Source organism: Homo sapiens, chromosome 2, assembly GCF_000001405.40.
Source record: "Homo sapiens chromosome 2, GRCh38.p14 Primary Assembly".
NCBI lineage: Eukaryota > Metazoa > Chordata > Mammalia > Primates > Hominidae > Homo > Homo sapiens.
The window spans coordinates 238,408,467-238,421,294 of NC_000002.12; the positions used below are offsets into that span (position 1 = coordinate 238,408,467).

The 12,828-nt window shown below is 46.9% G+C and overlaps 1 pseudogene, besides 2 other annotated features; it reads left to right on the plus strand.

Annotated features, from left to right (window-relative positions):
• Positions 765-1,297: an enhancer, noted in NCBI's record as "H3K4me1 hESC enhancer chr2:239317872-239318404 (GRCh37/hg19 assembly coordinates)". NCBI's record gives its function as "activates a minimal SCP1, AML or CMV promoter by ChIP-STARR-seq in naive H9 embryonic stem cells {active_cell/tissue: H9 hESC(naive)}" and the evidence as "EXISTENCE:reporter gene assay evidence [ECO:0000049][PMID:30033119]".
• Positions 1,832-2,363: an enhancer, noted in NCBI's record as "H3K4me1 hESC enhancer chr2:239318939-239319470 (GRCh37/hg19 assembly coordinates)". NCBI's record gives its function as "activates a minimal SCP1, AML or CMV promoter by ChIP-STARR-seq in naive H9 embryonic stem cells {active_cell/tissue: H9 hESC(naive)}" and the evidence as "EXISTENCE:reporter gene assay evidence [ECO:0000049][PMID:30033119]".
• On the plus strand, positions 4,196-4,275 carry RNU6-234P (RNA, U6 small nuclear 234, pseudogene; annotated as a pseudogene).

Sequence of the window (12,828 nt, forward strand, 5' to 3'; positions counted from 1 at the left end):
CTCAATGTTTGCCCAGGGAGTCCTGTCCGGCCCCCAACTTGTCCTTCTTCAAGCTGGGGAATGAATATCATCATTCCCTTTTGAATAGAAACCACCTTTTGGGGAGGTTCCCCACGGTGCAAGGACACGAGACCACCTTGCAGGCAGCCTTCAGCGGCCTGCCCCTCTTTGAGAACAGACTACATTTGCCAGTTTTCATACTTCACTTTCAAGGAGGCTGTGTAAGACCCCTTCAGAATTGGGGGTCTTCCAAAAATTTTATTCAAACCCTGGGCAAAGTTACCCTCTGTGACTGTGTGCCTGACACTGGCCGCCTGTGTTGGCCGCAGCTGCCCTGCAGTGTTCCAGGGCTTGGCACCTCAGGACTTGAAATTCCCTCTGTCGGGGAAGTCCCTCTGCTGTTTTGTTGGAGCTGCAGGGAAGAAAGAAAAGCCTCCTGGCGGGCGGTTGTTGAGGAAGAACTTTGGCGCCTACTTTCTCAAGTGAGCCTCCCCGGGGCTGGGAGTCAGGCCATAGCCAACCCACAGATGAGGAAACCGAAGCTCAGAGAGCAAGGTACAGTCCCTGCCAGCTCTCGGTCCCTGGCACGATGTCCTTTGGGATTTAGGGGTCTGGCTGCGTTGGCTGAGCACATGGCTGGCCCGGGACCCCAGGGAGCAGTTCAGGAGAGCATGGCCTGCCTGTCCCTGGGATTTTTCTGCTTGAGTGTTCTGTCATCTGCGTGAGCACACAGCTAAGAAAGGGCAGGTTGCTGAGTTGAGATTAGCGTGACCACTTTTTTGGCTGATGTGTGAGTGAGTGAGGATGCTTGAGAGGGCAGAATAAGAGAGGCGTTCCTGCTCTAAACAGTTCCACTGGGCTGCATGGCCACCGCCCGCCCCAAACCATGCACCTGAACCAAGATCTTGTTACTTGGCCCATCCTGCCCCGAGGGTGCAGCCGCTCATTGTGGGAGTGTCCGCAGGGCGGCCAGACCCATTAAGCCCAGCAGGCGTGGCGCCAGCACCCGCGGCGCTTTCCACAGCCCTCGAAAGTGTTTTCATTTCTTTCATAATCAGAAGAAAAAAATGAACTTTTAGGTCAAAGTCAATGTTTTAATATACAATATTAATATATTCATCTTTACATCAATGCCATCGTAAAATAGAATTTTTAATATTTTTTATGGAGGAGGGGCTCCTGAAAGTCATAATGCAGCCCCGAACCTTGGCCGGTCGCTTGGACTCGCAGCCATCCCCCGTGTGGCTTGGACCCACCGCGAAGCTGACCTCATTCTACTCTCCAGCCCAGCATGCGCCCGGGGAGAGGAGCAAGCTCTCATTCTTCTGGTGGGTTTTCCATTTCCAGGGATTATGGCTCTAAAGAAAAGCGTCTTTGGGACAGTTTCAATACAAACACCAGGATGCTTTTAAAAATAGAACTTTCAAATAATATCTCTTAAACCATGGATTTTAAGCATTAATCTCGTTCGATAGTTGCAAAATCAAAACCTTCCGTCAGCACGTCGACCTGGATCTTGCAGCCCGCGGCGCTGTGCAGGGAAGCTCTCCTCTCAGACGCCCCTTGAGCTGTGGTTGCTTCTCAGCCCCTGTTCAGAGCATAGTCACATGGGCGAGGCTTGTGAGCTTGTGAGCCAGGCCTTTATTCCTCCACGAGGGCTCTCTCCCATTGCCAGTAAAACTGCACACCCGTTTATTTCTATATTTTCCCTATTTTTACACCTGCCAAAACATCCATTTGTGGTGGTAAAATACTTGGACTCCCTAGCAGTGAAATGAAAAAGGTTGTGATTTATATAAAGAGCAGAGTGGCCTCTGGGGTGAGTTGGGCTGAATTAAGGTCCCTGTAACCTCCAAGATGAGCCTGGCAGGACGCAGCTAGTGGGGCACGTCCATGGCTGCATGGTGGCCTCCAGGCCATGCTTACCCACTCTCCTCTCCAACCCCCAAAGCCTTCTGCTACTGGCTGGCATGGTGAGTGCCTGGGCACCAGGAACAGGGCACAAGGGGCACTCGTGGGCTGGGGCTGGCTGTACAGTGAGAGACATTCAGGAATGTTACGAGCCATTACATTAAAATACAAAGGTAAGGAATATGGAAAACTAATTTTTTACATTTTCCTTGTGTCCATGCCCTGAGGTGATTTATATCTTGGACCTCAGGGGGAAATCCTGGGGTGTATGTGCGATTGTGCATCTCTTCTAACTCCAAGTTGGGTGAATTCACATTCGCTGAAGGCAAGAGTATTTACACCACGGAAATTGACAGATGCTACAAGTCAGGACTTGACTTGTTTTGTTGTTTATCTAATTTTAAGAAAGTGATAGCGTGAAAGTGAGTGGAAGGAATGCTCGGTAAACATGAAGTAAATGTCACAGCCAGCTGGGTGCAGTGGCTCACACCTGTAATCCCAGCACTTTGGGAAGCCAAGGCGGGCAGATCACCTGAGGTCAGGAGTTCAAGACCAGCCTGGCTAACATGGTGAAATCCCGTCTCTACTAAAAATACCAAAAAATTAGCTGGGCGTAGTGGTGGGCAATCCCAGCTACTCGGGAGGCTGAGGCAGGAGAATCGCTTGAACCCGGGAGGCGGAGGTTGCAGTGAGCCGAAATCATGTCTCTGCACTCCAGCCTGGGTGACAGAGCAAGACTCTGTTTAAAAAAAAAAAAAATTATAATTCCCCTCCTCCTAGAAGAGGAGGACACTGTCTCTGGTTTCGGTCCTCTCCTACTGGAGAGCTGCGACAGGTGCCGTTGAAAGCTCTAGCCCTCACCCCTGTGGGGCAGGTGGGGGGCGTCAAGGAATTCAGGCCCCTGGAAAAGTGAAACCTTCCGCTCCAGAGCAGCCCCTGAAAATCCTCTGGGTCGCTGGGGATTTGCCCTCCTTTCCAAGATCATCTCCTAACGACAGGTTCTTCAAGTTACACTTCTCCCTGAGTCCCCAAGCCCGTGTAAATAGCCGGTTCCCTGGATCTGGGAAGGCTGGGCTGGGGCTGTGGATGGAAGGTATGTTGGTTGCTTTCCAAATGACTACACCTGTCCTGCTTCCCCATCAAACAGCCTCTGTGTTTACAGCTCCTTCAGGCTCTGTTTTTGTGAACAGGCACATTTAGGGGCTTTGGATGTGGCCTTCCTCCCCTCGGTTCAGCGGGCTCCAGGGAACTGGGTATTGAGGTGTTCTCAGGGGTCCAACACCTTCAGCTGGGGGCTCCAGAACCAGCAAAGAGCCTGAGAACGGGGGCGGGGGATAGGGGAAGGAGAGTGAGAGGCCTTGCAGACAGATCAGAACTGGCCTTGGCGAATCTAGGTACAGAACCCAGGCTGCCCCTACCCAGGGTCCTGCCGGGTGGCATGCCTCACCGGGGAAGGCAGGATCGGGGGGGTCTCTGGTGTCTTTCCGTGGGCACCCAGTGTCCTGTGGTTTATTGTGTTCGTGTGATGGGCGTCAGTCCTGCAGCAGCACTAGGAGGACAAGAGGTGGGCCCTGGGGGCTTGTGTTTCCCAAGCCTCTGCTGCTGTTATCTTAGTTACCTTTATTGTTTTCCTTTCTGATAACCGAATTCATATTAATTCATCTAGAAAACCACACGAAGAAGTAAATAAACATCACTTGTAAATCCCACCTTCCAAAATTGACCACAATTTATAATGCTAGTTGCTAGTATGTATTCATTTTCTCATCGTGTGTGTGTGTGTGTGTCTGTGTGTTTTACAGTCTTGTCTATTACAATCTGTTGTCCGTATAACATACACAGAAGCACCCGTTTATACCATTGGGACTATGCTGCTTACAGTGTTACGTAATGTTGACTTCTTTTTATTTCCCGTAAACAATTTTACTACATTTCTTCCCTGTCACTAACTGATGTTCTCTTAACCATGATTTTAAGTTTCATTGAATGGGCACCTTATTGTAGTTCAGTTGCGTATATTTTCTCATTTCTATAATGATTTATTCTTTAGTGCGTTATGAAATACTTGCTTCTGGTTTTTTCTCCTGGGTTATCTTTTTTTTATTGATTTCTGATTTGATTGCATCTTGGGGAGAGAATGTGGCCTGCCCAATACCGGTGCTTTGAACGGTGTGGAGGCTGCCCTGATGGCCCAGCACGTGGTCACTTTCATAAAAGCGCTATATATTTTTTTCACAACTTAATTACTTTATTGGGCTTAACAAATAGCATTTCCTGCTCGCTGTACTAAAATTGGAATGATACAGAGAAGATTAGCATGGCCCCTGGGCAAGGATAGCACAAAATTTATGAAGCATTTCATATAATTAAAAAAATAATATTTTGACATATCATTATATTTTTTACTATAAAATACACATAACAAAAATAACCTTTTTTTTGAGACAGAGTCTCACTCTGTTGCCCAGGCTGGAGTGCAGTGGCACGATGTTGGCTCACTGTAACCTCCACCTCCCAGGTTCAAGTGATTCTCATGCCTCAGCCTCCCGAGTAGCTGGGACTACAGGCGTGCACCACCACACCTGGTTAATTTTTTTGTATTTTTAGTAGAGACAGGGTTTTGTCATGTTGGCCAGGCTGGTCTCGAACTCCTGACCTCAGGTAATCCACCCACCTCGGCCTCCCAAAGTGCTGAGATTACAGGCGTGAGCCACCCTGCCTGGACTACCATCTTAACCATTTTTTAAGTGTATAGGTCAATGGCATTAAGTACATTCATACTGTTGTGCAGCTGATCCCTAGAACTTTTTCACCTTCCAAAACTAAAGTTCTGTATCCACTAAACAGTAACTTCCCATTCCCCCTACCCCCAGCCCCTGGCACCCACCATTCTACTTTCTGTGTTTATGAATCTAACTGCTCTAGGAACCTCTTATGAATAGAATCATATAGTATTTATCTTTTTTGTGACTGGCTTGTTTCACTAAGCATAATGTCCTCAAGGTTCATCATGTTGTAGCACGGGTCAGCATTTCCTTCTGTTTTAAGGCAGAGAATAATATTCCATTGTATGTATATACCACATTTTATGTATCCATTCATCCATCAGTAAATGCTTGGGTTGTTTCTACCTTTCAGCTATTTGAATAATGCTGCTATGAATATGGATATGCAAATATCCTTTGAGATCCTGTTTTCAGTTCTTCTGGGTGTATGCTCAGAAGTAGAATTGCTGGATTGCGTGGTCATTTTAGATTTAATCTTTTCAGGAACTGGTATACTGTTTTCCATAGTGGCTCCAGTACTTTGCATTCCCACTAGCAATGTACAAAAGTTGCAGTTTCTCCATATCCTCACTAACATGTGCTATTTTCATGGTCCCTATAATTTTGAAAAGGACCTGTACCTTCACATGGTTGGGCACGGTGTTGTATCTATATATGCCCATTCTGTCGAGCTTGTAACCATTTTGTTCAAATCGATATGCTAATAGATGTTTTTTCTATTGGATTCACCATTTAATGAGAGAGGTGTTTTAAAGTTTCCCGAGTACTACGATGAACAATTTATTTCTCCTCGTAGTTTTTTCTGGCTCATATATTTTTCCATCCTTTAAATCTTTCAGAATTCTTATATTTTAACTGTGTCTTTTATAAACGTTGAGTCAGGGCCAGGTGTGGTGACTCATGCCTGTAATCTCAGCACTTTGGGAGGCTGAGACAGGTGGATTGCTTGATCTCAGGAGTTTGAGACCAGCTTGGGCAACATGGCAACACCCCATCACTACTAAAAATATACACACCACACACACACACACACACACACACACACACACACACACAAAATACAATAGCTGGGGTGGTGGTACATGCCTGTGCGGTCCCAGCTACTCTGGAGGCTGAGGTGGGAGGATTGCTTGAGCCCAAGGTGGGAGTGGGTATGGGAGGGGGCCAGGGGTGCAGAGGTTGCAATGAGCTGAGATCGTGCCACTGCACTCCAGCATGGGTGACAGAGAGAGACCTTGTCTCAAAAAAAAAAAGAAAGAAACATTGAGTCAGTAGTCTTTGTTTTTACCTGGAGAGTTTATCACATTTGGATTTATTATACTATCTTATTAAGTGCTATTTTTCCCACTTTTTGTTTTTCCTCAACCTCATTTTTCTGGACTTCTTTGGGAGACAAAATCCTCTTATTTTTCCTAGACCTGTCTAGTTTGGAGTTTGTACATTATATGACTGTTATTTTAATAGTTACAGTAGCTACTTTAACACTGGTAGTTTACAAAGTCTAAGCTTAATTTCTTTAGCTTTCTTCAAATAATACAAGGACAATCCCAATTTATATGCTATATTGTCCAGTGTTTCCATTTTATCCTGTTTTTAAATTCACAAATTAAACACTCTATTGTTTAGGCAGCCAAGGTTTGTTAAAATTTATCTACCTACTTACCAATATCTGCTCATCATTTCTTTTAATTTTTATGGGTATATAATAGGTACATATATTTATGGGGTACATTTATCATTCCTTCTTGCATCAAATACTCTCTATCTGGGATCCTTTTCCATCTTTCTAAAGTTGATCCTTTAGAATTTCCTTTAAGGGATACAGGATACAACAAGCAGAATTGTCTGTAACTAGCCCTAGAAGCTCACTCAGGGTGGCCTGGATAAAGAGTAGGTTAAAACCACCGCTGCCCCCACTCAGCCTGCCTTCTTTCAGTGGGGGGGGAGTGATGCAAGCTCGACATCCCGTGGGGCTCAGGTGTGGGGCAGCTGGTTTTCTCAGCAATGAAAACAGCTGGCACCCAGGTCCCAACTGCTGCTGCCTCAGCAAGTCATCCCCCTCCTAATAGGTCACTTCCTGTTTGCCTCAGAAGGGTAGCAACAGGGGCCGGTGCTTCTCCCTGAAAGGTGAGCTGTCTCTGTGTGAGCAGAACGAGGCGAGGTTGGGGTTGCAGGCTCCCTGCTTTTGTGTCTCTTGCTGCCACTTGCCCATGTAAGCTTCTGATGCAGGATTTTTCTGGGCTGCTTTGCCAGCTGGAGACCTCTGGTCAGCCACACCTCTGCCCGGGCCTTGCTCGGCCCCAGGTTTGCCACAGGAGGCACCCTACCCACTCAGTCCACTGGGCCGCATCTGGCTTGCACACCAGTGCAGACCCCATGGCCACCATGACTGAGTGCTCAGCCCCCGGCTGGAGGGTGTGTGTGGGCAAGTGAGTGTGGGGTCCAGCACTGGCACAGGAGGGGCTCTGTGTGGGGCTTGTGGCTGGACCAGGCATGTTGCAAGCTCCTGCAGTGAACTCTAGTGTCCAGATGAGGAGAATGCGGTGGCATCGAAACAGGGAGGGCTGCAACCTTGAAGCCCCAGAGGTCACACTACATGGGCTAACAGGTCTTTTAGGCCTGCCACAGCCCAACAAACAGGGGTATATTAACATCTCTGTCAGTCCTGTTGCCCTGCTCCAGCCCATGGCTCTGGGGCTCACCCAGCCCTGTCGCTGCTTCCTGTTGGTGTGGTGCAACTGCTAGGCATTGATCATGGGTGGGGAGGGTAGAGGGCTACAGTGTTACTGCCGTCTTTGTACCCGAGTTCAGCGAGGTCCTGAGTGCTTGTCCCACATCCAAGAAGAATGAGATTACACTGACAAGTGAAGGGTGAGAAGGGCGGAGAACAGTTTTACTGAATGATGAAACAGCTCTCAGCAGAGATGGGATTCAAGGATGGTCTCCCACCAGAAGTCATGTGGTCTCTCTGTCAGTGTGGCTGGGTTTGGGGCTTTTATGGGCTCAGAATCGGGATGTGTTATTTATTGGTTTGTGAGTATCCAAAAAAGGCTAAAACAAAGGCACAATTCAAAGGTGGGCATGACAGTGTAAAAAACCAATTAGGGAAGGGTAGGTATATGTAAAATAGGTGAAGCGTGGGGATCAATCAGAGGAAAGTGCGCCAAATGGGAAGAGAGGTTCTCAATCCGGTCCGTGGACTTATCCAAGACTGGTAGCTTGGCTTTTGGGCTTTAAACTGTCTTTGGTTTGAAGGTGGGGTTTCACTAGGGACCTGCCCCCAGTCTGCCTAAGAATTTGTCTACCTCCTTCTGCTATCACTTCCCTGATAAAGCTTATTCCTTAATCTATCCTGTGTTTTGTTGGGAAATCATCTAAGATCTGCTTCCTGGCAGGTGGTGACCACCAAGAGACCCATCTTTTAGACAGTGCCTTTTAGTGATAAACTTTGTCTATTTTGTCATCATACCTGAAAGGTAGTTTCCCTGGGTGTAGAATTCTAGGATGACAATTGATCTCTTAAAGCACATTGAAGATGTCATTCTAGTGCATTCTGGCATCCACTGATGCTGTTGAGAAGTCGGCTTTCAGTTACATTTGTTTCCTATGTGGTCTCTCTTTCTCTGGCTGCTTTTTAAATCTTTTTCCTTGGTGTCCTGCAGCCTCAGGACTTCAACATGCATTGAAGTGTGCTTCTATTTAAATCTTGCTAGGGATTTACTGAGATACCTGGATTTCTAACTCTGGAAAAATTTCATTCCTATCTCCTTTAATATTGCTTCCTCTCTTCTCTGTTGATTCCCTTCTTGAACTCCAGAGTAGATGCTCCTTAGACCCTCCTACCCCAGCCACCATGTCCTTCACTTCTTGTCTATATTTTTCTATCTCTGTCTCTTGGTCCTATAGTTGGGATGATTTTTTAAAATTTTTTAGATTTCATTTATTTTTTAGAGATGGGGTCTCACTCTGTCACCCAGGCCAGACAGAGTACAATAGTGGGACCATAGCTCACTGCAGCCTCAACCTCCTGGGCTCAAGTGATCCTCCCTCCTCAATCTCCTGAGTAGCTAGGACTACAGGCACATGCCACCATGCCTGGCTAGTTTTTTTTTTTTCTTTTTGTAGAGATGGGGTCTCATTCTGCTTCCCAGGCTGGTCTTGAACTCTTGGCCTCAAGCGATCCTCCCACCTCAGCCTCTTGAGTCTCTGGGATTACAGGTATGAGCCACCTTGCCTGGCTAGGATGATTTCTTGAGCACCGTCTTTAAGTCCACAACCAATTGCCTCTTTAGACATATCTAATATACTTTTCACTGCAACCGTTTAGTATGTTTTTTTCGACCACTGTGTTTTTAATTTCATTTTAGAAGTTCTGTTTAATTTTTTTTTCAAATATACTGGTTCTTTCTGTGAAGTCTCTTGGCCCTTGTTCACATTTTCTTTTTTTTTTTTTATGATCTTGTTGCATGCCAACTTCGTTCACATTTTCAGGCTTCTCTTTACTACTTAAACATTAAAGTTGAAATTGACACCTTCCCCAACTGGGCACTCCCTGCGCCCTTCTCCTGCGTGTGTCTCCCCAGCCTGGCACTCCCTACACCCTTCTCCTGTGTGTGTCTCCCCAGCCTGGCACTCCCCGCGCCCTTCTCCTGTGTGTGTCTCCCCAGCCTGGCACTCCCCGCGCCCTTCTCCTGTGTGTGTCTCCCCAGCCTGGCACTCCCCGCGCCCGTCTCCTGTGTGTGTCTCCCCAGCCTGGCACTCCCCGCGCCCTTCTCCTGTGTGTGTCTCCCCAGCCTGGCACTCCCCGTGCCCTTCTCCTGTGTGTGTCTCCCCAGCCTGGCACTCCCCGCGCCCTTCTCCTGTGTGTGTCTCCCCAGCCTGGCACTCCCCGCGCCCTTCTCCTGTGTGTGTCTCCCCAGCCTGGCACTCCCCGCGCCCTTCTCCTGTGTGTGTCTCCCCAGCCTGGCACTCCCCGCGCCCTTCTCCTGTGTGTGTCTCCCCAGCCTGGCACTCCCTGCGCCCTTCTCCTGTGTGTGTCTCCCCAGCCTGGCACTCCCTGCGCCCTTCTCCTGTGTGTGTCTCCCCAGCCTGGCACTCCCTGCGCCCTTCTCCTGTGTGTGTCTCCCCAGCCTGGCACTCCCTGCGCCCTTCTCCTGTGTTGTCTCCCCAGCCTGGCACTCCCTGTGCCTTTCTCCTGTGTGTGTCTCCAGGGCACAGGTGTGTCAACTCCATGGCAGCCGGGACTTTTGTCTGTTTATCTCACTTTTGTGTCCACTTCCTTGAACAGGGCTCAGTAAGCCAGCACTGGTTGGATAGACAGTAGCTTCATATTCGGTGTCTCATCAGTGTTTGAAGCCTGTGGAGGACCCTTTTGCTGACTCTCCTTCTGTGTGCACTTTGCTATTTCTGCCCCAATGAGAGGTTATTTTTCTTGGAACTTGATCTGTGGGAATTCTTTGAGGCCCAGGCTGAAGTAGTCTCTAGAAAGGAACTATATTTGCTTCTGCCAGTTGCTTGGGGCACTATCAACCTAGAACTGCTGTCACTTAGCTTCTTTGCTTGAGAGTTTTCAGAACACTAAAGTGTGAATTTCGGTGGGATTTTTGATCTAAACTTCATGTGAGGCCCAGGCCTGGGCTAAGGTTGAGATGAGCAGGCTTTTCTGCTGAGCCAGTATTTTAGTTCTTGTTACTTCTATCTCCACCTCCTCCTCAATGTTATCTTTAAAATTTTTTTTAATTGTGATAAAATACATGCAATATATAATTTACCATCTTAACCACATTGAAGTGTATATTTCAGTAGTGTCAAGTGTGTTCACATTGTTGGGCAACTGATCTCTAGAATGTTTTCATTGTAAAAATGGAAACTATACCCATTAAACACTAGCTCCCCATTTCCCCTCCCCCAACCCCTGGCTGAATTGCCATTCTTTCTGTTTATGAATTTGACTACTCTAGATACCTCATGAGTGAAATCATATAGCATCTGCCCTTTTGTGTCTGGATTATTTTGCATAGCATAGATGTCTTCAGGATTCACCCACATTGTAGCATGTAACAGGATTTCCTTCCTTTGGAAGCCTGAAGAATATTCTGTTTTATGGACATACCACATTTTGTTGATCCATTCATCCACTCATGGATGCTTGGGTTGCTTCCACCTTTTGGCTGTTGTGAATAATGCTGCTATAAATAGATATGGGTGTACAAATGTCTACGTCCCTGCTTTCAGTTCTTTTGGATATACTCAGAAGTGGAATTGCTGGATCACGTGGTAATTCTGTTTAATTTTTTGAGGAACCACCATACCATTTTCCATAGTGCCTATACCATTTTAAGTTCCCACCAATAGTGCACAAGGGTTCCAATTTCTCCATATCTTTGCCAACACTTGTTATTTTCTATTTTTTTCTTAAATAGTAGCCATCCTAATGGATGCAAAATGCTATTGCATTATGGTTTTGATTTATATGTCCATAAAGATTAAAGATGTTGAGTATCTTTCCAAATGCTTATTGGTATTGGTGTATCTTCTTTGGACAAATGTCTGTTCAAGTCTTCTGCCTATTTTTTTCTCTTTTGGTAGGGTCAGGGTCTTGCTGGGATGCCCAGGCTGGTTGCAAACTCCTGAGCTCAAGCAATTCTCTCCCCTTGGCCTCCCAAAACACTGGGATTACCGGCATGAGCCATTGTGTCCAGCCATTTTGCCTGTGTTTTAAATGAGGTTATTTGTGGATTTTTTGTTGTTGTTCTTATTCTCGTTACTTTTTACACTGAGGGTGGGACTCTATGGGTGCCAGTTCTATGCAAGCATTTCGTATGAGACTCCTGCTCTAAATTGGTTTCTGCACCCTATGCAGTCATCCAGGTAGAAGTTCAAGCTCTCAGCACACAGTTTGAGATGAGTGCTGGCTCAGACCCACTAAGCTGTCAGGGTTTCTGCCTTCTCTTTGCTTCTGGCCGCTATGGCAGCCTGAGGATGCCTCTAACAAGATGCGTTTTACATTTTCTCCAGCATTTTAGCTGTTTGTATCAGGAGGGCCGTCAGGCATCTAATCGCCCACACGATAGAAACCGTAGCTCCCGGACACTGATTTTCTTACCACGTCTTGACTTTTCTCTCTGCCATCAGAAGTATTTGCTTGTGTCTGAGAGAGCCCGAGGATTCCGTATAGGTAAATGCATCATTAGGGTCATGACAGAAAGGAGAGCGGGGAGTAAATGTGTGTCTACACCATGATTTTGTAATTTTATATGCCTGTGAATAAGGACATGAAGTTTACGTAGAGAAAGGAAAAGAGGTCATTTCTTAGACTGGTGTATTGGGGACAGCTTACTCTCCTTTTAAAAATGCACTCCTCCCTTCATCAGCCACGCAGTCAGTCAGTCAGTTGAGAGTGAGTCCTTGGCTCCAGCCCTGTCCTGGAAGCAGGAGACCCAGAGACTGAAGAGATTAGAAAGCGCCCGGTCCTGAGTCCCTGTGCTTGTGATGCTGGTTATGTACACAGTGAGCAGTGGCCTGCAAACGAAGTTAGGTGATGCAGTAATGGTATGCGGGTTAAACACTTTAACATTGGAAGGGCAACCTAAGAAAACAATCCCAGCAGTTTGGGAGAGAACGCCTAGTTCTCAAACAGATGTTTTCGAGGGACAACAGGAACCACTGGAAAAGAGTTTGAAGTTGTGACTTTCCTTAGAGTGGTGAAAACAGGATTCCATTTTCAAAAATGTCCTTTTCACACCACTAAGAAATGCCAGCCACAGAGGGGATCTCAGCTGGGGGAGGGGGCAGAAGTGTGTAGGGTTTAGAGAAAAGCCCAGCCCCCTTTGGGCTTCCAAGAGCAATTCAGAATTCCTATGTGGAAAAGGGGAGAGGGGCAAGTTCCCAGAGAGACGAAGGGCAGAGCAGCCTGGAGACTTCCTCTCTGCTGGGACACCGCCTGCTCCGGCTGTCGGCAGCCTTCTTCAGGTCCCCTGTCTTTGTAAAAAGTGCTGCTCAAAGCTGGGACTTAAACTAAACAGATTTCCTAGAGGAAACACACACACACCATCACACTCTGCTAACGTTGCTTTTATGGACATTTCCCTGAGAAATATTTCTCTCTGGAAAAATAAATTCACAGGATGTA